Source organism: Homo sapiens, chromosome 1, assembly GCF_000001405.40.
Source record: "Homo sapiens chromosome 1, GRCh38.p14 Primary Assembly".
Classification (NCBI taxonomy): domain Eukaryota; kingdom Metazoa; phylum Chordata; class Mammalia; order Primates; family Hominidae; genus Homo; species Homo sapiens.
The window spans coordinates 21082101-21109231 of NC_000001.11; the positions used below are offsets into that span (position 1 = coordinate 21082101).

A 27131-nucleotide genomic window follows, 5' to 3' on the forward strand; every position below is an offset into this window, starting at 1 on the left:
TGACTTTTAATGCTTCTTTGATTATCAGCAAATCCCTATTATGTAAAATGACGGACATTAGTGTAAAAAGCCTGCATACCAGATACAAAAAAGCATAATCTTTGTGTAATTTTGAGACTGGCCAGGAGCCTTTCAAGGAATTTAACCAACTCAATGAAAGTGACATATGGACACCATATGCTAAGGCAGTAGGAGGTGAACTGAGGGTTAACTTTTACTTCATGACATAATCCCAGCATATTCGGAGGCCAAGGCGTGTGGATCACTTGACATCAGGAGTTCAAGACCAGCAAGGCCAACATGGCGAAACTCCTTCTCTACTAAAAAATACAAAAATCAGTCAGGTGTGGTGGCACGTGCCTGTAATACCAGCTACTCAGGAGGCTAAGGCAGAAGAATCACTTGAACCCAGGAGATGGAGGTTGCAGTGAGCCAAGAATGCATCACTGCACTTCAGCCTGGGTGACAGAGCAAGGTTCCACCTCAAAACAAACAAAAAAACAACAAAAAAGGGGAAACCGGCAGGATGCAGCAGCTCACACCATAATCCCAGCACTTTGAGTGGCTGAGGTGAGAGGATCAATTGAAGCCAGGAGTTTGAGACCAGCCTGGGCAACATAGCAAGGCTCTGTCTCTGTTAAAAAGTTTAAAAAATTGGCCGGGCGCGGTGGCTCACGCCTGTAATCCTAGCACTTTGGGAGGCCGAGACGGGCGGATCACGAGGTCAGGAGATCGAGACCATCTTGGCTAACACGGTGAAACCCCGTTTCTACTAAAAATACAAAAAATTAGCCGGGCGTGTTGGCGGGCGCCTGTAGTCCCAGCTACTTGGGAGGCTGAGGCAGGAGAATGGCATGAACCTGGGAGGGGGAGCTTGCAGTGAGCCGAGATCTCGCCACTGCACTCCAACCTGGGAGACACAGCGAGACTCTGTCTCAAAAAAAAAAAAAAAAAAAAAAAAAAAAAAAAAAAAGTTTAAAAAATTAGCTGGGCACGGTGGCTTGTGCCTGTAATCCTAGTTACTCAGCTATTTAGGAAGCTGATGTAGGAGGTTCACTTGAACTCAGGAGTTCAAGGCTTCGATGAGCTGTAATTATGCCACTACTCTCTGACCTAGACGACAGAGTGAGACTCTGTTAAATAAATAAATAAATAAAAAGTGGAGACTATCACACTTTAAGGTAACTTTTAGCTGCCTAAAAACCTTTCTTCCAGAATAGGCATAAAACATAATATATACACAAACACATTTTTTTTTTGGAGACAACGGTTTCACTCTGTCGCCCAGGCTGGTCTCAAGTTCCTGGGCTCGAGCAGTCCTCCCTCCTTGGCATGCCAAAGTGCTAGGATTACAGGCGTCAGCCACCACACCCAGCCACACACACACTTTTTTTTTTTTTTCTAATAGAGACAGGGTTTCACCATGTTGCCCAGACTGGTTTCAAACTCCTGAGCTCAAGTGATCCACCCACCTCAGCCTCCCAAAGTGCTGGGATTACACGTTTGAGCCACCATGCCTGGTCTCGATTTTTTAAAACTGATCAAAGGACTACAAATATGACAGTAGTTTTAAATAGTAAAAATCAAATTAGATCAAACTAAAAAAATACATTCAAAAGCTTAGATTCAAATATTTCCTGTAAACTGCATGACAGGCAGTGTGCTGTTGCTCACAGGATTTGGATGATCTATTCTCCAAAGTAATAAAATTACAGAATTACATGTCCTCATTTATGAGGTTTTATAACTCAGGTTTTTTCAACAAAATACTCGTTCCTCATTCAGTATTCATCTCCACAAATAGGACCACTCAGTTGCCCAAACCAAGATCTACGACACCACCTTTACTCTTTTCTCTCACATCCCACATCCAAGACATCAACATATTCTACTGACTTTACTTCTCCTTACTCCCATTTCAATCACCACCACATGTCCACATCACACAGTCTATTCTCCATACAGCAGCCACAGTGACCTTTTAAAAGTAAATTCACACCTACTCCTCTTAATCCTCCACTGGCTTTCTATTATATCTAGATTAAAATCCAAAATCTTTACTATGGTCTGTAATGTCCATGTATTAGTCCATTCTCACACTGCTATAGAACTACCTGAGACTGTGTAATTTAAAAAAAAAAAAAAAAGAAAGAAAAAAAAGAGGTTTAACTGACTCACAGTTCCACGTGGCTGGGGAAGCCCCAAGAAACTTACAATAATGGTAGAAAACGAAGAGGAAGCAAGGCACGTCTTACATGATGGCAGGAGAGAGAGAGAGAGCAAGGGGAGAAGTGCCACACCTTTGAACCATCAGATCTCATGAAAAATCATTCACTATCACAAGAACAGCATGGGGAAAATCTGCCCCCATGATCCAATCACCTCCCACCAGGTCCCTCCCCTGACTTGTTGGGGATTACAATTCGACATGAGATTTAAGTAAGGACACAAAGCCAAACCATACCAGTCCACATAATCTGATGTCTCAAATCCAACCTCCCTCCATTCCAGCCACACTGGCTTTCTTCCATTTCTAAGACTACATTGAGCTCACTCCTATCTCTGGGCCTCTGCACTGATGTTCCTTCTACCACAAATGTTTTTTTTTTCCTAGAAATCTTCAGTTTCAGCTTAATTGCCACCTTTTCAGAGAGACTTTCCCTGAGAGAATTAGTTAAGGTAGAATGGCCAGTCATTCTCTATCCCTTTATCCTGCTTTATTCTCATCAAGTTACTTACTAAAACCCAATAGTATACTGTATATATATTTGTTTGCTGTCTTCTTATCCCATAAAGATGTAATATCCATGAGGGCTGAGGGTCTGTGTTGCTCCATTACCATATCCTGAACACCTAGACCACTGCATGACACACAGTAAAAGCTTAAGCTTAAGTATTCAATGCTGAGTGATTAAATTCTTTTATAATAAACAATATATAACCATTTATTATTTAAGAAATGTTATCTAAGGAATGGCATACAAAAAGCTGATACGAGATAAAGGGACAGAATAAAGCATAGGGTCTAAAAAAAAGACAAGAAAGACAAGCTACACTCCAAAAATGGTTATAGTATTTGCCTCCATAAATCACTCAGGATTACTAGAAGTTTTCATTTTTACTTATCTTAATTTAAAAATAATAATTAAATGGTGAAAGTATACTTAGGTAATTAGAAAACATTATCGTATTTTAAGAGGGATTCTGACAATGATGCTGTTCTTTTGCATAGTACTTTTTGAAAAAACTATAAAAAACTAAGACCTAGAGAAAGGTTGTGCCAGAAAAAAATATTTTAAGTTTTCTTTTTTCTTAAGACACAGGATTTTGCTCTACTGTCCAGGCTGGAATTCAGAGGCGCAATCATGTATCACACTGCAGCCTCGACCTCCTGGGCTCAAGTGATTCTCCTGCCTCGGTCTCCCAACTACCTAAAATTACAGGCTCGCACCACCATGCCTGGCTAGTTTATTTTTTGTTGAGATGGGGTCTCATTATGTTGCACAGGCTGGTATCAAACTACTGGGTTCAAGCAATCTTCCCGCCTTGGCCTCCCCAAGTGCTGAGATTACAGGTAGGAGACAGCACAATCAGCCAAAGGTTATTTTTCTTTTCTTTTGAGACAGTCTCACTCTGGCGCCAGGCTGGAGTGGCGCGATCTTGGCTCACTGCAACCTCTGCCTCCTGGATTTAAGCAATTCTCCTGCCTCAGTCTCCCGAATAGCTGGGACTACAGGTTCACGCCACCACACCCGGCTAATTTTTGTATTTTTAGTAGAGATGGGGTTTCACCATGTTGGCCAGGATGGTCTCAATCTCCTGACCTCGTGATCCGTCTGCCTTGGTCTCCCAAAGTGCTGGGATTACAGGAGTAAGCCATCGCGCCTGGCCCAAAGGTTATTTTTCAAAGTGTTATTCAAAATGTTATTTTTCAATGAACTGAAGGTTCCTAATGATTAGGGTGACCAGATAATTTATAACAGAAACTGGGTCAATTCTAAGAGTGAATGGGGCTGCAGAAATAATTAATTGATCTACAATAGGTGTTACTGAGCCTTCAGACAGACCAAGAAAAATATCCATTACCTACATGATACTCTTTTTTTTTTTTTTTTTTTTTTGAGGGTCTCACTCTGTCACCCAGGTTGGAGCATAGAGGTTTGATCAAAGCTTACTGCAGCCTTTAACTCCTGGCCTCAAGTGATCCTCTTGCCTCAGCCTCCAAAGTACATGGGACTACAGGCACATGCCACCATGCCTGGTTAATTTGCAAATATACAAAGATCAGCTTAAAACCCCCCCAACCAACCTACATACTCTTTATTTCACTTCATATTATGTCATAGTGAACTGTCTACTGGCCATTCCATTAACCACGCCTCTGGATCTTCACTTCCTAGAAGGCTTTGCCTTCTCTTCTCTACCTACAGAAGTCTTGCATCTTCTGCTTTAAGTGTCACTTTCTCAATGAAGTCACCTCTTCCTTTCGCATGCAATTAACACGTTCCTGTCTCTAATCAAAGGTTCTTAATCTGGAGCTTAGAAATGGCCTGATGAGGTGGGGCGCAGTGTCTCACACCTGTAATCCCAGCATATTGGAAGGTCAAGGTGGGCGGATCACTTGAGGTCAGGAGTTCGAGACCAGCCTGGCCAATATGGTGAAACCCCATCTTTACTAAAAATACAAAAATTAGCCAGGTGTGGTGATGTGCACCTGTAATCCCAGCTACTCAGGAGGCTGAGGCAGGAGAATCACTTGAACCAGGAGGCAGAGGTTGTAGTGAGCCAAGATCGAGCCACGGCACTCCAGCCTGGGCAACAGAGTGAGATTCCTTCTCAAAAAAAAAAAAAAAGAAAAAAAGAAATGGCCTGATGGACATCTGGGAAACTCTGAAATTATATGTAAACACTATGTATATGTAACTCTTGAAAGAGAGAGCATTACAACTATTTTCAGATTCTAAAAGTGATTCACAACCCAAAATAATAGGAATCACTTCTCTATCATATCACTTTATATTAGAATTATTTATTTTCTTATCTCCCTCAGTAGACTATGAGTCCTTTTAAGGTATCCTATCTATATCCACAGGAATAAATGGTATGTTGAACCGAAATATTTAAAAGATAGGTTTCACTCCCTAATTCCCCTAAATTACCTTAGGTTCACTGTAAAACACCTAAAATTTACTTCTAATATTATTAGCTTCATCCTCTAACTTTTAAATTTTCTTTCATATGGCTGGGCATGGTGGCTCACGCCTGTAATCCCAGCACTTTCGTAGGCCAAGGTGGGTGGATCACTTGAGCCCAGGAATTTGAAACCAGCCTGCTCAACCAAGTAAGAATCCTCAAAATAATTATTTTCCCTTCATTTATGAATTTGAATCATCTAATATAAAAAATTAAATGGGCTGGGCATAATGGCTCATGTCTATAATCCCAGCACTTTGGGAGGTGGAGGCAGGAGGACTGCTTGAGCTCGGGAGTCTGACCAACCTGAGCAACATCATAAAACCTTGCCTCTACCAAAAAAAATTTTTTTTTTTTTGAGACGGAGTCTCGCTCTGTCGCCCAGGCTGGAGTGCAGTGGCACGATCTCAGCTCACTGCAAGCTCCGCCTCCTGGGTTCACGCCATTCTCCTGCCTCAGCCTCCTGAGTAGCTGGGACTACAGGCGCCCGCCACCATGTCCGGCTAATTTTTTCTATTTTTAGTAGAGACGGGGTTTCACTGTGTTAGCCAGGATGGTCTCGATCTCCTGACCTCGTGATCCACCTGCCTCGGCCTCCCAAAGTGCTGGGATTACAGGCATGAGCCACCGTGCCCAGCCAAAAAAATTTTTTAATTAGCATGCACAGTAGCATGTGACTGTAGTCCCAGTTACTTGGGAGGCTGAGGCAGGAGGATAACTTGAGGCCAGGAGTTCAAGGCTGCAGTAATCCATAATCATGCCACTGCACTCCTGCCTGGGTGACAGAGTGAGACCCGATCTCTTAAAAATGAAAAAAAATTAAATTTCCTTCTGTTAAAAACAGTGTTCATGGCCAGGCACAGTGGCTCAGGCCTGTAATCCCAGCACTTTGAGGGGCTGAGGTGGTGGATCACTTGAGGTCAGGAGTTCGAGACCAACCAACATGGTGAAACTCTGTCTCTACTAAAAGAACAAAATTAGCAGGGCATGGTGGCACACGCCTATAATCCCAGCTACTTGGGAGGCTGAGGCAGTAGAATCACTTGAACTGGGAAGGCAGAGGTTGCAGTGAGCTGAGATCACACCGTTACATTCCAGCCTGGCAACAAGAGCAAAACTCCATCTCAAAATTTAAAAAAAAAGTGTTCACTCTTCTAAACTTTCAGCATTTTGAAAATATGTAATCAAGGAGAATAAAAAGTAAAACTTAAAAAATTTAAAGTTTAGAAAATGTAAAACTGATAAAATTTTTAAGAAAAAAAATCCAGAAAGAAAATAAAACTCAAGAGTCCAAAAAGAATACAAAGCTGCCTATAATCCCAGCACGTTGGGAGGCCAAGGCAGGTGGATCACCCGCAGTCAGGAGTTTGAGACCAGCCTGGCCACCACGGTGAAACCCCATCTGTACTAAAAATGCAAGAATTAGCCAGGTGTGGTGGCACGTGCCTGTAGTCCCAGCTACTCAGGAGGCTGAGGAGGGAGAATTGCTTGAACCCAGGAGGCGGAGGTTGCAATGAGCCAAGATCACACCACTGCACTCCAGCCTGGGTGACACAGTGAAACTCTGTCTCAAAATAATAAAAATAATAATAATAATAAGGCCAGAGGTGAATATTTACAGAAAGGAAAAATAAGACAGGTCTCTCTATCTTAACACAGTATTTGTTTCACTCCATTTCTTAGATTAAGATGATATGGAAAGGGCCTATCATTCTATTCAGAATTTTATTGAACTTTTTGCCAAAAATTTGTCATGTGTCAATCAAACAAACACTGCCTATAATTAATACCAAGGATTCACACACAAAAGCACACACACAATTTGACAACCTTCAGACACTCACCGTGCTGTAGACTGCTGAGACAGCGGGAGTGAAGATTCGATCCTCAAGAGGTTGTTGCACAGGTCCTCTAGGAATTCTAGAAGAGCGAGTTAAGGATAAGAGAATTCAAAAATGGATGCTTAATAGTTAGAGAAAATTGCAACCACAAAATTCCACCAACGACCTAAGCATTTTCACCCAATTAGTGAGTTATATACTTCTCCACTAAAACTAAAAACCAAATGTTTCAAATGTCCTAAAATGACTAAATCAATCTCTTCAAAAGCCTTCCCATGATAAACATTCCATGGAATCTCAAAACAAACACAACTATACAATAAGTGTCCAAACTTTAGACCCATGATGAGACTCTGCCACCTTTACTTTGTACTAAAAATAACTGGCTGGGCACAGTGGCTCAAGCCTATAATCCCAACACTTTTGGAGGTCAAACTGAGAGAATCACTTAAACCCCAAGAGTTCAAGACAAGCCTGGGCAACACAGCAAGACCTCATCTCTACTAAATTAGCCGAGTGTGGTTGCCAGCACCTGTAGTCTCCGGGAGGCTGAGGTGGTAGGATCACTTGAGCACAGGAGTTTAACAAGTTGCAATTAGCAAACCTCTCTACCAAAAAAAAAAAAAAGCCTAAATAAATCAGCATGAGACAGGAACTGCCAGAAATTTTCTACAGAATTTGAATTCAAAGAAATGACCCATGTAAAACTCTGTACACTACAACATACTTCCTTCCTAATTCTGCCTGCCATTGTGCTTATTACCAGTTCTCACCAAACTCTGTATCTCCAAGCATAAATCATTGGATGTTTCTTTCCCTCTGAGCTCAAGATACAGGCAAAACAGCTTTTCATAGTGCTACTTAAAATTCTAATTCAATAAATGAGCAGTGTAACATGCACATACAATAATCCAGAACATGCTGATTTTTCATAACCCATGATTGAAATACAGTAGTACATCCACTTGATATTTCTGTATTTCAAATTGCTGTGATTTATATCATTAGGAAGTACAAGCAAAACTATTAGTAAGATTACATAGATGGTATGCAATACTGAATTAAGACTCTAAGTAGAAATATAAATGTAAAAAATTTCGAATTCTCCTCTTTCTTTTTTCTAGTAGAATAATAACAAAAGACAAATTTCAGAAATAAATATAATTTGATGGTTAAAGACTCTGATTATTAAAGTACTCACTACATACATGCTACAACAAATGCCAACTAGGCAAATACACTTGCAAAGACTAAATTTCATCAGAGAAATCCAAGAATCCATGAGGATATTACATGACATGTATTACTGATATGAATGTTTCCTACTTATGCAGAAAAGAGAGGACCAATACATTTTAAAGAACAAATGTTTATGAAACTTCATGAAGGATGAACTCTCTTCAAAATAAACCTTCTTGATCAATGGTAATCATGTCTGGCACTGGGGTTGTTTACAGTCAGTACCTCCTTAAAAGGTGGATTTGCACAAAGTAGAAAAGAAGAAGTGAAAATAAACAGAAATTGTCTTTCAGTCTGCCAAAACACTAATGTTCCATTTATAATTCCCAGCTGAACGTTCCTAAACCTTGCCCCACTCCACTACAAGAAAAACTACTGCTCTAATGTTCAGCATAAGCAATATTCTTAAAGTGAAAGACTCAAGTTATCATTTCCTCATTGAAAGGAAGATCAAGGATACAAATGTCATCAAATAAATACTGATTTATAGGTAAAATAGGCAACTAATATCAGGAGATAAAAAAATAATGCAAAGGGTCTTTTTCTATATTATTTCTTATTTAGGCCAAGATGTCAATGTCAATTTATGCTTTCTCTACTTCTTATTTCTACATAGTTCTGAAATAAAAAAGGAAGTTAACTTCTATAATACATAAAGTAATGGCAGAATTTCTAAACTATACCCTATTTCACAAAGATACCGAACAGGATTTCTCAAAACATGTACTGTTTAAAATACAGTTACTTTGGAAACAGCTATAGTCTTCTTTTTTTAATTTTTTATTTTTTGAGACAGAGTCTCGCTCTGTCACCCAGGCTGGAGTTCAGTGGCATAATCTCAGCTCACTGCAACCTCTGCCTTCCAGGTTCAAGCAATTCTCGTGACTCAGCCTCCTGTGACTCAGCCTCCCAAGCAGCTGGGACTATAGACATGCGCTACCACAGCCGGCTAATTTTTTGTATTTTTAGTAGAGATGGGGCTTTGCAATGTTGCCCAGGCTGGTCTCGAACTCCTGAGCTCAGGCAATCCACCCACCTCGGCCTCCCAAAGTGCTAGGATTACAGGCATAAGCCACCGCACCTGACCATAGCTACAGTCTTTTAACATTACTTCTGAACCACACGAATATGTTTTTCAAAAATTAAAAAAATGCAATTTAAACAAGCCAGCTCCAGCCTAGACCACAAGAGACCCTGCCTCTATTAAAAAAAAATTTTTTTTCCACGATATTGATTCTTCCTATCTATGAGCATGGAATGTTCTTCCATTTGTTTGTGTCCTCTTTTATTTCGTTGAGCAGTAGTTTGTAGTTCTCCTTGAAGAGGTCCTTCATATCCCTTGTAAGTTGGATTCCTAGGTATTTTATTCCCTTTGAAGCAATAGTGAATGGGAGTTTACTCATGATTTGGCTCTCTGTTTGTCTGTCATTGGTATATAAGAATGCTTGTGATTTTTGCACATTGATTTTGTATCCTGAGACTTTGCTGAAGTTGCTTATTAGTTTAAGGAGATTTTGGGCTGAGACGATGGGGTTTTCTAAATATACAATCACGTCATCTGCAAACAGGGACAATTTGACTTCCTCTTTTCCTAATTGAATACCCTTTATTTCTTTCTCCTGCCTGATTGCCCTGGCCAACTTCCAACACTATGTTGAATAGGAGTGGTGAGAGAGGGGCATCCCTGTCTTGCGCCAGTTTTCAAAGGGAATGCTTCCAGTTTTTGCCCATTCAGTATGATATTGGCTGTGGGTTTGTCATAAATAGCTCTTATTATTTTGAGATACGTCCCATCAATACCTAATTTATTGAGAGTTTTTAGCATGAAGGGCTGTTGAATTTTGTCAAAGGCCTTTTCTGCATCTATTGAGATAATCATGTGTTTTTGTCTTTGGTTCTGTTTACATGCTGGATTACATTTATTGATTTGTGTATGTTGATCCAGCCTTGCATCCCAGTGACGAAGCCCACTTGGTCACTGTGGATAAGCTTTTTGATGTGCTGCTGGATTCGGTTTGCCAGTATTTTATTGAGGATCAATATTCATCAGGGATATTGGTCTAAAATTCTCTTTTTTTGTTGTTGTCAGGCTTTGGTATCAGGATGATGCTGGCCTCATAAAATCAATATCATGAAAATGGCCATACTGCCCAAGGTAATTTATAGATTCATTGCCATCCCCATCAGGCTACCAATAACTTTCTTCACAGAATTGGAAAAAACTACTTTAAAGTTCATCTGGAACCAAAAAAGGGCCCGCACTGCCAATACAATCCTAAGCCAGAAGAACAAAGCTGGAGGCATCACACTACCTGACTTCAAACTATACTACAAGGCTATAGTAACCAAAACAGCATGGTACTGGTACCAAAACAGAGATATAGACCAACAGAACAGAACAGAGCCCTCAGAAATAATACCACACATCTACAACCATCTGATCTTTGACAAACCTGACAAAAACAAGAAATGGGGAAAAGATTCCCTATTTAATAAACGGTGCTGGGAAAACTGGCTAGCCATATGTAGAAAGCTGAAACTGGATCCCTTCCTTACACCTTACACAAAAATTAATTCAAGATGGATTAAAGACTTAAATGTTAGATCTAAAACCATAAAAACCCTAGAAGAAAACCTAGGCAATACCATTCAGGACACAGGCATGGGCAAGGACTTCACGTCTAAAACACCAAAAGCAATGGCAACAAAAGACAAAATTGACAAATGGGATCTAATTAAACTAAAGAGCTTCTGTACAGCAAAAGAAACTACCATCAGAGTGAACAGGCAACCTACAGAATGGAAGAAAAATTTTGCAATCTACTCATCTGACAAAGGGCTAATATCCAGAATCTACAAAGAACTCAAACAAATTTACAAGAAAAAAACAAACAACCCCATCACAAAGTGGGCAAAGGATATGAACAGACACTTCTCAAAAGAAGACATTTTTGCAGCCAACAGACACATGAAAAAATGCTCATCATCACTGGCCATCAGAGAAATGCAAATCAAAACCACAATGAGATATTATCTCACACCAGTTAGAATGGCGATCATTAAAAAGTCAGGAAATAACAGGTGCTGGAGAGGATGTGGAGAAATAGGAACACTTTTACACTGTTGGTGGGACGGTAAACTAGTTCAAACATTGTGGAAGACAGTGTGGTGATTCCTCAAGGATCTAGAACTACAAATACCATTTGACCCAGGCATCCCATTACTGGGTATATACCCAAAGGATTATAAATCATGCTGCTATAAAGACACATGCACATGTATGTTTACTGTGGCACAATTCACAACAGGAAAGACTTCAAACCAATCCAAATGTCCATCAATGACAGACTGGATTAAGAAAATGTGGCACATAATATACACCATGGAATACTATGCAGCCATAAAAAAGGATGAGTTCATGTCCTTTGTAGGGACATGGATGAAGCTGGAAACCATCATTCTCAGCAAACTATCACAAGGACAAAAAACCAAACACCACATGTTCTCACTCATAGGTGGGAATTGAACAGTGAGAACACTTGGACACAGGAAGGGGAACATCACACACCAGGGCCTGTCATGGGGTGGGGGAAGGAGGGAGGGATAGCATTAGGAGACATACCTAATGTAAATGACGAGTTAATGGGTGCAGCACACCAACATGGCGCATGTACACATGTAACAAACCTGCACGTTGTGCACATGTACCCTAAAACTTAAAGTATAATAAAAAAAATTTTTTTTTTTTTTTAAAAAAAGCCAGGATTTCCTTAGGAACACTTTTACACTGTTGGTGGGACTGTAAACTAGTTCAACCATTGTGGAAGACAGTGTGGCGATTCCTCAAGGATCTAGAACTAGAAATACCATTTGACCCAGCCACTCCATTACTGGGCATATACCCAAAGGATTATAAATCATGCTGCTATAAAGACACATGCACACATACGTTTATTGCGGCACAATTCACAACAGCAAAGACTTGGAACCAACCCAAATGCCCATCAATGATAGACTGGATTAAGAATATGTGGCACATAATATACACCATGGAATACTATGCAGCCATAAAAAAGGATGAGTTCATGTCCTTTGTAGGGACATGGATGAAGACGGAAACCATCATTCTCAGGAAACTATCGCAAAGACAGAAAACCAAACACCACATGTTCTCACTCATAGGTGGGAACTGAACAATGAGAACACTTCGACACAGGAAAGGGAACATCACACACCGGGGCCTGTCGTGAGGTGGGGGGAGGGGGGAGGGACAGCATTAGGAGATATACCTAATGTAAACGACGAGTTAATGGGTGCAGCACACCAACATGGCACATGTATACATATGTAACAAACCTGCACGTTGTGCACATGTACCCTAGAACTTAAAGTATAATAATAATAATAATAATAATAATAATAATAATAATAAAAGCCAGGATTTCTTTTTGTAAATAGCCCCTACAAAAGAAAAAATAACCTATTTTAAAAAAGAGCCTGGCACAGTGGTGCATACCTGTAGTTCCAGCCACTAAGAAAGCTGTGATGACAGGATCCCTCGAGCCCAAATATTCACCTGGGCAATTCTTCCTTTGCTCTCCTTACCTTTTACCATTGAGATCTAGGGAAATAAAACTAACCAATTTTAAACTCTGTTTCAACTCAATTTAATGCTGGCTGTTAATTCAGGTCCAAAAACCCTATTGGAAAGCAAATACAGTGGTTATGTATATTACTTAACACGCCTAGCAGAATCTAGGCAGCACCCTTAATCAAACACATTAATATCTCTACAGCAAAATATATGAATATTCAAACTTCTACCCTTCTGTCCAGAAATTTACCAATGCAAGAAAAAGAATAAGTTTTCCAAGCTCTTGGAATTTTAGAATTGCAAGACTATACTATTCTTTATCATTGAATCTTTGCAATTAGTATCTCTGGAACGTACACAACTAGAAACCATTATATTAGATTTTGTTTTGTTTTGGAGTACAGTGTTGGGTTCACAGCTGACTGCAGCCTCAACCTTCTGGGCTCAAGTGATCTCACCTCACTCACCAGAGTAGCTGGGACTACAGGTGTGTACCATCGTGCCCAGCTAATCTTTAAATTTTTTGGTAGAGATGGTGTCTCCCTATATTGCCCAGGCTAGTCTCAAACTCCTGGGCTCAAGCAATCCTCTTGCCTCAGCCTCCCAAAGTGCCGGGATTACAGGCATGAGCCACTACACCTGACCTATATTAGATTTTTAACAAATCCAGAAACATTAGTCTCAAAGAGCTTAGCCAGAAAACCCCTTGTTCTGGCTCTGATTTTCTATTAACTCAGATACAAGTCAGCACATATTGCCAATTGATTTCCTGCTAGTCATTTTTAAGTTTACCCAGAAACATATCCTGTAAGTTTAGAAACATACAAACAAAAAAAAAACAAAACAATATTGCCAGAGACTATGCAACAATGGCTGCTGACTACGCTGTTATTTCTACACAAGATAAAAATACACATACACATTTTCTGTGAGACAAAATGATATTCATATGCAAAAATGAATGATACACTCACAAAAGTTTCAAATGAAGTTTCTAATGCCCTCACATTTTTAGTTCTACAACAGACTAATATGCTTTAACAGTGTTTTCTAATGCCCAATTCAGATTCAAATACAATCAATCCATATGGCAAAGCAAAGGCAGAAGGCAACAAAGTAAGCCTCTCTCCTCAAAAATGCCCACCTTGCACAATAGCAAAAATATGGAATCAACCTAAGTGTCCATCAGAAGATGACTGCATAAAGAAGATGTAGTATATATACACAATGGAATACTATTCAACCATAAAAAAATGAGGTCATTCTTTTGCAGCAACATAGATGGAACTGGAAGCCATGATCTTATGTGAAACAACTCAGAAAGACAAATATCACATGTTCTCACTTACTGTTGAGATTTAAATAATGTATACACATGGAGGTAGAGTGTGGAATGTCAGAAAACAAAGACTCACAAGGAGTAGGGGGATGATGAGAAATTACTTAATGGGTACAACATATGTTTTTCAAGTGATGGACACATTGAAAACCCTGACTTCACCACTACAGCAGTATATCCATTGAACAAAATTACACTTGTCCCCCATAAATTTAATTGCCCACTGTGAAGAAATATCAGTAACAAAAACAAGTTGAAGTTAACAATTCCAGTTGGGTCCTACATCTGAACCACTCAAATGGCCTTGATAATAACCAAAATAAAACATGCTGATATGCCAAATTCCTCTGGACATAGATGGGGATAATAATAGGTGAGCTACATACATTTGGCAGACTTTAAAAAGCTATCTTTTAAAGACTAACTGAATGCTACTCACATATGACGAAAGTCAAAGTTTGCTGGAAGTTATACTACTGGCTGAAAGTTTTTATGGGTATAACTATAAGATTTACAAAAATGTTAAGGCCTTGATTGACCTGAAATGCTAGAGCATTGTTAAAATGTAATTTCAAAAAGTGAATGTAACTTTAATGTGCTAGAAGTTTCAGTGATGGAACTTAGGTTAAAAAATAATCATGATTAATCTTGAACATGAATGGTGGTTATGACTGCATGATGTGAATTTACTTAATGCCACAGAACTGTACACCGAAAAATGATTAAAATGGTAAATATTGTGTTATGTATACTTTACCACAAAAAATAAACTTTTAAAATAAATAGATAAAAGAACCATGACTATGGAATAGTCAGAGGAGATTCTTCTAAGTTTGGCTTTACTATTCTGTACAAATAGTGTGCAGATTCTATCAAGGATACACGATCTTTCCAATTTTGTATTTCCTTTCTGGAGTAAAAGGAGTGAGACTCTTTTCATCGAAAAAAGGTGCTGTGTGCTAAGATGATGCAGCTAATGATCAGACTTGTACACAATGCAACCACTTTCAGTAGGTATCCCTAGGAAAAAGGACACGCAGTCATCCACAGCATCTTCAACTTGACATATCCTCTACCTCAGTATCTCAAACTGTTGTTCACAATCCAGATAGGAAGAAAGGAGTAACTCATGAATTTGAGGTATTGCTATATGTCACCTCAGGTAAAATAAAATGTCTGTTTTTTATGATAGGAAAAATGAAGTTTTTAACTTTGAAAAACCAAAAGGAAGGGGGCATTAGACAAAACATTCCAACCTTAAAATTAACACTTGAAAACCAAAATAGTGTGGTACTGGCAAAAGGACATAAAAACAAATCAATGAACAGAATATTCAACCTGTAAGAAGGCCCACACAAATGTAGTGAATCGATTTTTCACAAAGGTGCAAAGGCAATTAAGTGGAGAAATAGTCTTTTCAACAAATGGTGCTGAAACAACTGAAAAACCATATGCAAACCAATGACACTCTCTACCAACACCTCACCCTTTGTACAAAAATTAATTCAAAATGTGTGGATCTAGTGTAAAACAGAAAACTATGAATCTTTTAGAAGAAACAATAAGAGGAAACAACTGTTATCTTGGATTAGGCCAAGAGTTCCTAGATAACACATCAAAAGCATGATGTATTTAAAAAAAAAAATTGATATGACCAGGCACAGTGGCTCATGCCTGTAATCAAAGCACTTTGGGAGGACGAGGTGGGAGGATCACTTGAGTCCAGGAATTTGAGACCAGCTTGGGCAACATAGCAAGCAAGGCCTTGTCTCTACAAAATATTTTTTAAAAAGAAGAAAATTGATAAACTGAACATCATCAAAACTACAAACATTTCCACTGTGAAAGACATTGTTATAAGAACAAAGAGACAGGATACAGACTGTGGTAAATACTTTTAAAACTTACGTAAATAAGATAAAGGATTTGTATCTAGGATACATGAAGAAACTAGGCTGGGCCCAATGGGTCATGCCCATAATCCCAACACTTTAGGAGGCTGAGGTGGGTGAACTGCTTGAGTCCAGGAGTTCAGGACTAGCCTGGGCAAGATGGTGAAACTGCATCTCTACTAAAAACACAAAAAATTAGGCAGGCATGTTAGAGCCTGTAATCCCAACAACTTGGGAGGTTGAGGTGGGAGAATCACCTGAGCTCAGGAGGTGGAGACTGCAGTGAGCAGAGATCACGCCACAGTACTCCAGCCTGGGCAACCAGAGCGAGGCCCTGTCTCGAAAAAAAAAAAAAAAAAAAAAAAGAAGAAGAAGAAGAAGAAGAAAGAAACTAAACACTCAATAACAAGACAACAAACAACCTAATATTTTTCAAATGGGCAAAAGTTTGCTGTGGTTGCTGTTTTGAGAGACAGGGTCTTGCTCTGTTGCCCCACACTGGAGTGCAGTTGCAGGATCATGGCTCACTGCAGCCTTGATCTCCCAGGCTTAAGCAACCTTCCCAGCTCAACCTGTAACTGGTATGTGCCACCATGCCCAGCTAATTTTTTCATTTTTTGTAAAGATGAAGTCTCGCTATGTTGCCCAGGCTGGTCCCAAACTCCTGAGTTCAAGCAATGCTCCTGCCTTAGCCTTCCAAAGTGCTGGGATTATAGGCACGACCCACTGTGCCTAGCCTCAAATGGGGAAAAGTTTTAAATGAATGACACCTAATCAAAGAAAATATACACGTCACAAATAAAGACACAAAAGGCTCTTTACTTCCTTAATGAAACATCATTAATGAATGCAAATTAAAACCAAAACGAGATATCACTATACCTGTTACACTAACTGAAACCATAAAAAAATGACAATAATGAGTGCTGATAAGGATGAGGAGCAACTGGAAATCTCACACGTTGGTAGAGTGCAAAATGGTATAGTCACTTTGGAAAGCAGTTTGGCAGTTTCTTATAAAATTAAACATACACTAACCATATGACTCAGCAGTCCCACTCATAGGTATTACCCAACATAAATGACAACTTAAATTTACACAAAACCCTGAACACAAATGCTTGCAGCAGTTTCATTCATAATGGCCAAAAACACTAGAAATGAGTCAAATATCTTCAACTGGCCAATAGACAAACTATGGTACATCCATATAATGGAATACTAGTAGGCATTTAAAAGGAATTAACTATTAATAAACACAAAGACATGAATGAATCTCAAATGCTAATTATTTTAAGTAAAAGAAGCTAGACTCACTGCACTCCTGCCTGGGCAACAGAGTGAGACCCTGTCCCTGAGGGAGTGCTAGACTCAAAAAGACTGTAAGTCCATTTATATAATATACTAGTTAAGACAAAAATGTAGAAATGGAAAGCAGATCAGTGCTTGCCAGGGCCTAGAGGTTGGGGGCAGAGTTTATCCACAAAGGGACATCATTGAAGGAATATAACAGGGTAAATGGAAGTTTTCTGTGTCTTCTACACAGTAGGTTACAAAAACCATTCATTTTTCAGAACTTAGAAACTATATATCCAAAATAAATGAATAGTCAGTTCCTCAAAAGGTTAAGCAATAGAGTCACCATATGGTTCAGTAATTTCACTCCTAGGCACGTATTCAACAGAAAAATAAAAAGCATGTCCATGTAAAACTTGTACACAAATGTTCACATCAGCATTATATATAATAGCAAAAAAGTGGAGATAAATGTCCATCAACTGTTAGATGGACAAATTGTGGCATATCAATACAATGGAATTTTATTTGGCAATAAAAAGAAAGTGGTGATACATGTACATTACGGATAAACCTTGAAAACATTATGGTAAGTTAAAGAAGCCAATCACCAAAGACTGTATATCATGTGATTCTGCTTATATGAAATGTCCAGAATAGGTAAATCCATAGAGGCAGAAAGTAGATTAGTGGTTGCCTAAGCTGAAGGGAGAGGTGGGAGGAAGGAGGGTGACTGCTAAAGGATCCTGGGTTTCTTTTTGAGATAAACCAAACATTCTAAAACTGTGGTGATGGATGCACAACTCTGGATATTAAGTATAATTTAATACAGTTAACTGTACATTTGTACATTTTAATTGGCTGAATTTTATGGTGTGTGAATTATATCTCAATAATGCTGTTACCAAAAAAAGTAAATATTATTGCATGTAATTTAAAAATAATATTAGAACTCCATGGTGAGACAAGCATCTTATCTGTTCTACCACTCTCACCCCAGGATCCAGAATATTGCAGAAAGAAGTCATAAACTCAAAATGTTTCATCATCATGATCCGGTTCAATAGACTTAAAAAAAGTATGGCTTGCCAAGCACAGTTTCACGTGCCTATAGTCCCAACTACTCAGGAGTCTGAGGCAGAAGGATCCCTTGAGCCCATGAAGTTCAAGGCTGAAATGCACTATGATTATGCCAGGCTGCTCTCCAGGCAGATCCCATCTCTTACAAAAAAAAAGAAGTAGTATGGCTTATCCTGCGAATCTACACAAACAAAGAGAATTGTTATGCAACAGTAACAGTAAAACAGGCACCACACAGGAAAACAGCTGGGCTTGGGCGGCAAACTACGTTCTTTTTCAATGACAGGAAAAAAGCAATATAGGATCATCCACACTCCTCAAATCTTGCTTAATGACTTCACAAGATGGAAACCACCCAACCTGCTTTTTGACACTACTCCTGACAAACTTCTCTCTTCACTAGTATCAAGAAAAGATCCTTCTCCACAGCCAATAAACCCAAGTCAAAGCACGCTTATACTAAATCAGATGAAGACTGTCAATATACCTAAGGAGAGATTTAGTTACGGTACCTAGAAATAAGTCGACGTATTTTCAGATAAAAAAGAGATCAAAGTTTAACGGTAAAAATAACTTCACAAAGTGAAAAATCATGGTTAACTATCAATGAAAAACATCCTCCCAAAGTGCTGGGATTACAGGCATGAGCCACCGTGCTTGGTCAAGAATTTCATCTTAATTTAAATCACTGCAGGATAAAATATGCAATAGGGCCGAGCACGGTGGCTCACGCCAGTAAACTCGGCACTTTGGGAGGCTGAGGTGGGCAGATCACTTGAGGTCAGGAGTTCAAGACCAGCCTGGCCAACGTGGCAAAACTCTGTCTCTACCAAAAAATACAAAAGTTAGCCAGACATGGTGGTGGGCATCAGTAATTCCAAGCTACTCAGGAGGCTGAAGTGGTAGAATCACTCGAACCCAGGAGGTAGAGGTTGCAGTGAGCCGAGATTGCACCACTACACTCTAGCCTGGGCAACAGGGTCTCAGGAAAAAAAAAAAAACAACAAAAAAAAACCGAGGGAGGGAGGGAGTAAGGAAGGAACAAAGAAAGAAAGGAAGGAAGGGAGGGTGGGAGGGAGGGACTCATTCCAACAGACATTCCTCCAACTTTAAATCAATGTAATCAATACCACTTTGAGTGAAACTGATCAAACAGCTACAAATTTCACCTTTATGTTATTATTATATTTATTACATCATTATATTGTCCAAGAACGTATCATAAATACTTTCTTGAATCAAATAATTTGTATTCTGCAACACAGGCAGGGAACTACAATAAAGTACACCCAGACCTTCAGAGTATAACTGGTAACAAAAAAAACCTTTCTTTTCATCACACTTGAGAGCTCGGCCATCTGTTAAAGTTATAAGTTATATACAAAAAACTTATAAATGAAATCATAAATTACAAATTAAAAAATGGGATAAGCTTGAGAAGATTTATGAAACATGCACCAAAGCCCAATTAAGATGCTGTGAATTCTCAGGCCTAGAAAGCAACTAAAGAATGTTGCAGTTTTATATGGTAAGCTATCTGAGGAAAAAAGACAAACACCAAAAAGGAAATAGTTTTAAAAATGGAGGTATTTCTGGCTGGGCTTAGTGGCTCATGTCTGTAATCCCACCACTTTGGGAGGCCAAGGTGGGTTGATCACCTGAGGTCAGGAGTTTGAGACCAGCCTGGCCACCATGGTGAAACCCCGTCTCCATTAAAAATACAAAAATTATTTATAAAAACAGGTAGCCAGCCAGTGGGCCACAGATTGCAAACCCTGATTTTTACCTAATAAAACAATTTTCCCCCAACACTTTGTACCAGACTGCCAACTTCAAATTATAAATGCTATGGTTATATAATACACCTGATAACACAAACCTTAAGTTACCAAACATTAATTAAATTCATCCATGACGCACTTATGGTGCTATGTTAATAAATGGACAATGCTAAAGAGACATTCTTAAAATCATCATTAATAAAAATTTGATGGTATTATTTGAAACACAGTATACATATGGCTTAAACTCAGGATTAGGTTCTTAATAATTAGAACAATTTCTTTATTATTTGACACCCTCCCACCACCTTGACTCTTGTCATCTCTTCCACTCCATCCTCCTATTTTTCCTCCTCTCCAGGTATTCTTTATAGTCATCAATAATGAAAGCAATTTCTGATATGCCAATAGTCCAGTGAAATGTTAATTCAGTAATAATGGCAGCAAATTCTTAATTTTATTCTATAACCTCAAGTAATAACTTAAAAATTAAAATAACAAATGTCAAGAGAAAAAAATTAACGTATCCATCCATAGCAAAAGGAACAGGATCACAAATATATTCCATTTCAATTCTCTTTCCTATTAAACCACCTTTACTAGTACTAAAAATTTATATTGAAACCAACTATATTATGCTTTAATTCTGACAAAGTTACTATAAGGGGGAAATATTTGGATGTATTTTTTAAATTGATAATATTTGTAAAAGCACATGGATCTCCTCATAGTACAATGTCTCACTAAAGCTCCTTAATGCTTTTAATATAAGCATTGGTGTGATTTGTTTGATTTAATGTACTATAATAACAGACTGAAAAATTGCAGTCTGGTAACCCAGTCCATCTGGTCAGCTGAACTCTACTCCTATACTGCTTTCTATTCACTTTCCCTGTCCCTCTTCCATACTCTTGACTATTACCATCTACCCAGTCCCCTACACCAAATGTTCACTATTTACACAGCAAGGAGGCAAGGAGGCAACCAAAAAGGAATCCTAAATCTTCCCTACTCCATATCACTTAACTTCTACAAATCCTGTTTTAAGAGAACTGTAAAAATAAAATAAAATTATAAATAATGCCCTAGAGAATATTGAGTGTGATTCATTTTATCTGGAGATGAATGGGTAAATGGTGACTATGAGGATAAACTTACAGCAGTGGAAGAATGAAAGAGGAAAAATTAATGAAGAAACAAGATCCAGGCTGGGCACACTGGCTCATGCCTATAATCCCAGCACTTTGGGAGGCCAAGGTGGGTGGATCATCTGAGGCCAGTAGTTCAAGACCAGTCTGGCTAACATGGTGAAACCTCATCTCTACAAAAAATACAAAAATTAGCCGAGTGTGGTGGCATGTGTCTGTAGTCCCAGCTACTTGGGAGGCTGAGGCACGAGAATTGCTTGAACCTGGGAGGCAGCGGTTGCAGTGAGCCAAGATCACACCACTGCACTCCAACCTGGGCAACAGAGCAAGACTCTGTCTCAGAACAAAAAAAAACATCTCTCCCTTTTTAAGTGACCAAAATTCTGTGTTCGTATAGCAGTTTGTCCACAGAATTCCTTACCATTTCATGCTGCAGGGGTCTTGGAGTCAGACAATCTTGGGTTCCATTTCTAACGTTATCCCTTAGTAAACTGTGTAATCATAGTTAACCTCAAAGTATTAGCTCCTCAATTATAAAATGGTGATAGCAAAAACAGCCATAAATTGCTCTGAGTATTAACTAAATCCCTACATGAAATACTCTGAACAATGCCGGCTACATGACATTCAATCTGTTAATTCCCCTTTCTGGCCCTCAAACTAGAAGTAATATGATATGATCATGAGCAGGAAAGTGGTACTAGAAAGACAAATGCTTAAAAGTCTTCTTGAAAGCACTAGTAACATCCTTCTTCATTCATCCATCCTCAACAAATATTTTATGAGTAGCTACAAAGTACTAAACCAAACAACTTGTGGCACTTACATTCTATTGGGAGCAAACAGACCAAAAGTCAGTAAACAAATGAGACAATTAAAATAGGAAAAATTATAAAGTGGGCAAAGAACATGAACAAACACTTTTCTAAAGAAGACATATACATGGCCAACAAGCATATGAAAAAATGCTCCACATAACTAATCATTAGAGAAATGCAAATCAAAACCACAATGAGATACTACCTTATACCAGTCACGATGGCCATTATTAAAAAGTCAAAAAATAACAGAGGCTGACTATGTTGCGGAGCAAAGGGAATGCTTATATACTGCTAGTGTGGAAATGTAAATTACTTCAGCCATTGTGAAAAGCAGTTTACCAATTTCTCAAAGAACTTAAACCATTTGACCCAGCAATCCCATTATTGGGTATATACCCAAAGGAATATAAATCGTTCTACTAAAAAGACACATGCACAGGTATGTTTGTCATAGCACTATTCACAATAGCAAAGACATACAACCAACCTAAATGCCCTTCAATGGTAGACTAAAGAAAATGTGGTATATATACACCATGAAATACTACACGCCCATAAAAAAAAAATGAGATCATGTCCTTTGCAGCAACATGGATGGAGCTGAAAGTCATCCTAAGACAACTAATGAAGGAACAGAAAACCAAATACTGCATGTTCTCACAAGTGGGAGCTAAAAATTGAGTACGCATTGACACAAAGAAGGGAACAATAGACAGCAAGGTCTACTTGAGGGTGAAGTGTGAGTGGAGAGTGAGGGTTGAAAAACTACCTATCAAGTACTATGCTTATTACCTGGGTGATAAAATAATCTGTACAGGTCAGGTGCGTTGGCTCACGCCTGTAATACCAGCACTTTGGGAGGCCAAGGCAGGCAGATCATCTGAGGTCAGGAGTTCAAGACCAGCCTGGCCAACGTGGTGAAACCGCATTTCTACTAAAAACAAAAAATACAAAAATTAGCCATAGGTGGTGGCGCAAGCCTGTAATCCCAGCTACTCAGGTGGCTGAGGCAGGAGAATAACTTGAACCTGGGAGGTGGAGGTTGCAGTGAGCCGCGATTGCGCCATTGCACTCCAGCCTATGCAACGAGTGAAACTCCGTCTTAAAAAAAAAAGAAAAAAAAAAAATCTGTACACCAAACCCCCACCATGACATGCAATTTATCTATATAAACAAACCTGCATATATACCCCTGAACCTAAAATATGTTTTTTTAAGATTAAATAAAATACATAAAAAATAAAATAGTGAAAATGGTATGAAGAAAACTTTTTTAAATGACATGAGAGGAAGGTAATAGTATTCTAGATAAAGTAGAAGTAATTTCTGAATTGAAATCTGAGTAATACAAATAAGCCCATCCTATGAAGAGAAAGGGAAAGAACATTCCAGGAAGGTAGGCATCTGGGGTACAGGTTTTAGGTGGGAAACAGCTGTGATCAAGGATGATAAGAGTGGTTGGGCACAGAGACTCACTCCTATAATCCCAGCACTTTGGAAGGCCAATGTAGGAGGACTGGTTGAGGCTAGGAGTTCGAGGCCAGCCTGGGCAACTTGTCAAGAACTCATCTCTACAAAAATACAAATAAAAAATTAGCTGGGCATGGTCGCATGTGCCTGTAGTCCTAGCTACCCAGGAAGCTGAGGCAGAAGGGTCGCCTGAGCCAAGGAGTTCAAGGTTACAGTGAGCTATGAATGTGCCACTGCACTCCAGCCTAAGTGACAGAGCAAGACCCTGTCTCTTTTTTTTTTTTTTTTTGTTAAAGGATCAAGGGAGCTATGCTGAGAGTAGCAATTAGAGTTTGGAAATTTAAGCAGAAGCTACATCACTGAGAGGCTTGTAGGGCCTGGTAAGCAGTATGAATTCTTTTAACAGGCGACAATGGGAGAATTTAAACAGAGGAGATCCATAATAGCACTGTTAAAGACCATTCATTTTTTATAAAAAATAAACCTGAGAAGGGTAAGAGAGGAAAGAAAAAAAGCTGAGAGATTATAGCAGTTGTCCAAATAAAAGGTAGTGGCCTAGAAGACAGTAGGATAACAGAAATGAATGGCGAGAAAAGGACTAGTTTAGATAGTAAAACCAAGGGGAATAGCTATTGCATAAGAGGCATGAAGGAAAGGAATAACCAAGAATAGTTTACAGATAGTGTATCTTGAGTAGTTAGGCAGACAGCAGTACTACTCGCCAAAACTGGAAAGGAACAAGTTGAAATAGAAGTAGAAAGGAAATCAAAAGTTTTATTTTGAGCATAAAAATTCTGAAATGCCTATGAAAAATCCAGGAGGAGATGTAAATACACAAAGTGAATATATGAATATGCAATTCAGGCTAGAACTCTCATCCAAAGATACAAATTTGAAAGTAATGAACATAAAAATAGCATTTAATGCCAAAAAAAATTAAAAAATTAAAAAAAGGAAGAAGGTAAAGCACCTGACAATAAGACAAAGGAGGAATTAGTAAAGCAACTTGCAGAGAAGTGGCCACTGAGGTTGGAGGAAAACCAACAGATGTTACGGTAGCCATTCACAGAAATGACTATTGTATTCAAAATACTCTTCACACTTTACACTCTACTGTTGACACATCAGGACAAGGGCAACTTACCTATCAGCCCTACAGAAAACCAGAGAATCAAGTTTTACACCACGTGGGCTACTGTACTCTATACAATATATTGCTAAAATTTCTTTCAGCATTTAAAACAAAAAAAGTATGGGAAAATGCAAACTCTCTCCTGGAACAGAAATAATATATTCAGAGCATCTAACACTGTCTGGCAGATAGGAAAGCTCAATAAATGTTACTATCATAGTGGTTATTTAGAAAACTATCCAATTTTTGATTTTATTATTTACTTATTGAGATGGAGTCTTACTCTATCACCCAGACTGGAATGCAGTGGCACCATCTTGGCTCGCTGCAACCTCTGCCTCTTAATTCAAGCAATTCTCCTGCCTCAGCCTCCTTAAAAACTGGGACTACAGGCGTGTACCACCATGCCCAGCTAATTTTTTTGTATTTTTAGTAAAGACTGGCCATGTTGGCCAGGCTGGTCTCAAACTCCTGACCTCAAGTGATCTGCCCGCCTCAGCTTCCCAAAGTGCTGGGATGACAGGAATGAGCTACCGGGCCCAACCTGAAAACTATCCAATTTTTAAAAATAGCTTAGCATTTACAGTCACAAGTTGTATTGGCTAAGAGATGAGTTCTGAGGTTCCAGAGCAGGGGTCTCCACAAGTTAGCTATAATCTTAATAGGTCTGTCCAATGTATAAAGTTTTATTAATGAAACAAGTGATACTATTAGTGTGAGCATTACAGCTATTCATACAAGTTATTTGATTTCTGTTTTTCTTCTTGTTTGAAACAGGATCTCATGCTGTCACCCAGGCTGGAGTGAAGTGGTACAATCATGGCTCACTGCAGCCTCAACTGCCCCGACTCAAGCAATTCTCCTGCTTCAGCCTCCCGAGTAGCTGGGACTACAGACACGTGCCACCATGCCCAGCTTATACAAGTTATAACAATTCTTTTTTGGCCAGGTTGGCTTGTGCCTGCGATCCCAGAACTTTGGGAGGCCAAGGCAGGAGGACTGCTTGAGCCCAGGAATTCAAGACCAGCCTGGGCAACACAAGGAGAACTCATCTCTACAAATAATAACAAAATTAGCCAGGCGCAGTGGCGCACACCTGTAGTCCCAGCTACTTAGGAGATTGAAGCGGAAGGATCGCTTAAGCCTGGGAGGCAGAGGATGCAGTGTTGAGATCACACCACTGCACTCCAGCCTGGGCACTCTAACCACTGCACATAGCAAGGCCCTGTCTCAAAGAAACAAACAAAAAATACAATCTTTGAAAGAATAAACAAAGAAAATCTGACCACTTGCTAAGAAACCATCTCTTAGGTAATATCCATGAGGAAGGTCTAAAATAAGCTAGGTATATAAAACAGATGTACAATCAACCCTATTATTCAGAAATCAATTCCCTGTATTACATATAAACTACTGTACATATTTATATGTAATATATATAAACATGTATAACTACTTCTATTGTCTTTTCACTCATCATTAGTAAGATTACTAGACAATGGAGAAAGGAGGGGAATGTTGATAAAACGGGTTGTCAATTTTACTCTATTACATCCTTCCAGTGTAGGACGCTATTAAGTTTAGTAAGGTATTTCATTTCATTATTTTCTGAATATGAAGGCTTAAATATAAGGACTAATATAAATGCTTAAAGATGTTAAAGAAATTAATGTTTTATCTTTTAAAACTACAAGAGGCCAGGTGTGGTGGCTGACACCTGTAATCCCAGCACTTCGGGAGGCCAAGGCAAGCAGATTACCTGAGCTCAGGTGTTCGAGACCAGTCTGGCCAACATGGCAAAACCCCGTCTCTACTAAAATACAAAAATTAGCTGGGTGTGGTGACACATGCCTGTAATCCCAGCTACTCAGGAGGCTGAGGCAGGAGAATCACTTCAACCCGGGAGACAGAGGTCGCAGTGAGCTGAGATCGCGCCACTGCACTCCAGACTGGGCGACAGAGTGAGACTCCATCTCAAAAAAAAAAAAAAAAAAAAAAACTACAAGGGGCCAGGTGTGGTGGCTCAATGCCTGTAAATCCCAGCATTTTGGGAGGATGAGGCGGGTGGATCGCATGAGGCAAAGAGTTTGAGGCCAGTTTGGCCAACATGAAGAAACCCCATCTCTACTAAAAATACAAAAATTAGCTGGGCATAGTGGTGCACATCTGTAATCCCAGCTACTCAGTAGGCTGACGCACAACAATTGCTTGAACCTGGCAGACAGAGGTTGCAGTGAGCTGAGATCACAGCACCGCACTCCAGCCTGGGCAACTGAGCAAGACTGTCTCAAGGAAAAAGCTACAA

The 27131-nt window shown here is 39.2% G+C and overlaps 1 protein-coding gene across 63 annotated transcripts in view; it reads right to left on the minus strand.

Moving 5' to 3' along the window:
* The window catches only part of EIF4G3 (eukaryotic translation initiation factor 4 gamma 3), a 370606-nt gene that overhangs the window by 275809 nt on the left and 67666 nt on the right, over positions 1-27131 (minus strand). For 60 of the 63 annotated variants that reach the window (XM_047433321.1, XM_047433366.1, XM_047433324.1 and 57 more), the window contains one exon: positions 7038-7113. The exons of the other annotated variants lie outside the window; for them this stretch is intronic. Coding sequence is in view for 1 of the 60 variants with exons in the window: in XM_047433231.1 (XP_047289187.1) it covers positions 7038-7113 (76 nt within the window). In the remaining 59 variants the exon portion in view is untranslated. The remainder of the gene's footprint in view (positions 1-7037; positions 7114-27131) is intronic. 63 annotated transcript variants of the gene reach the window in all.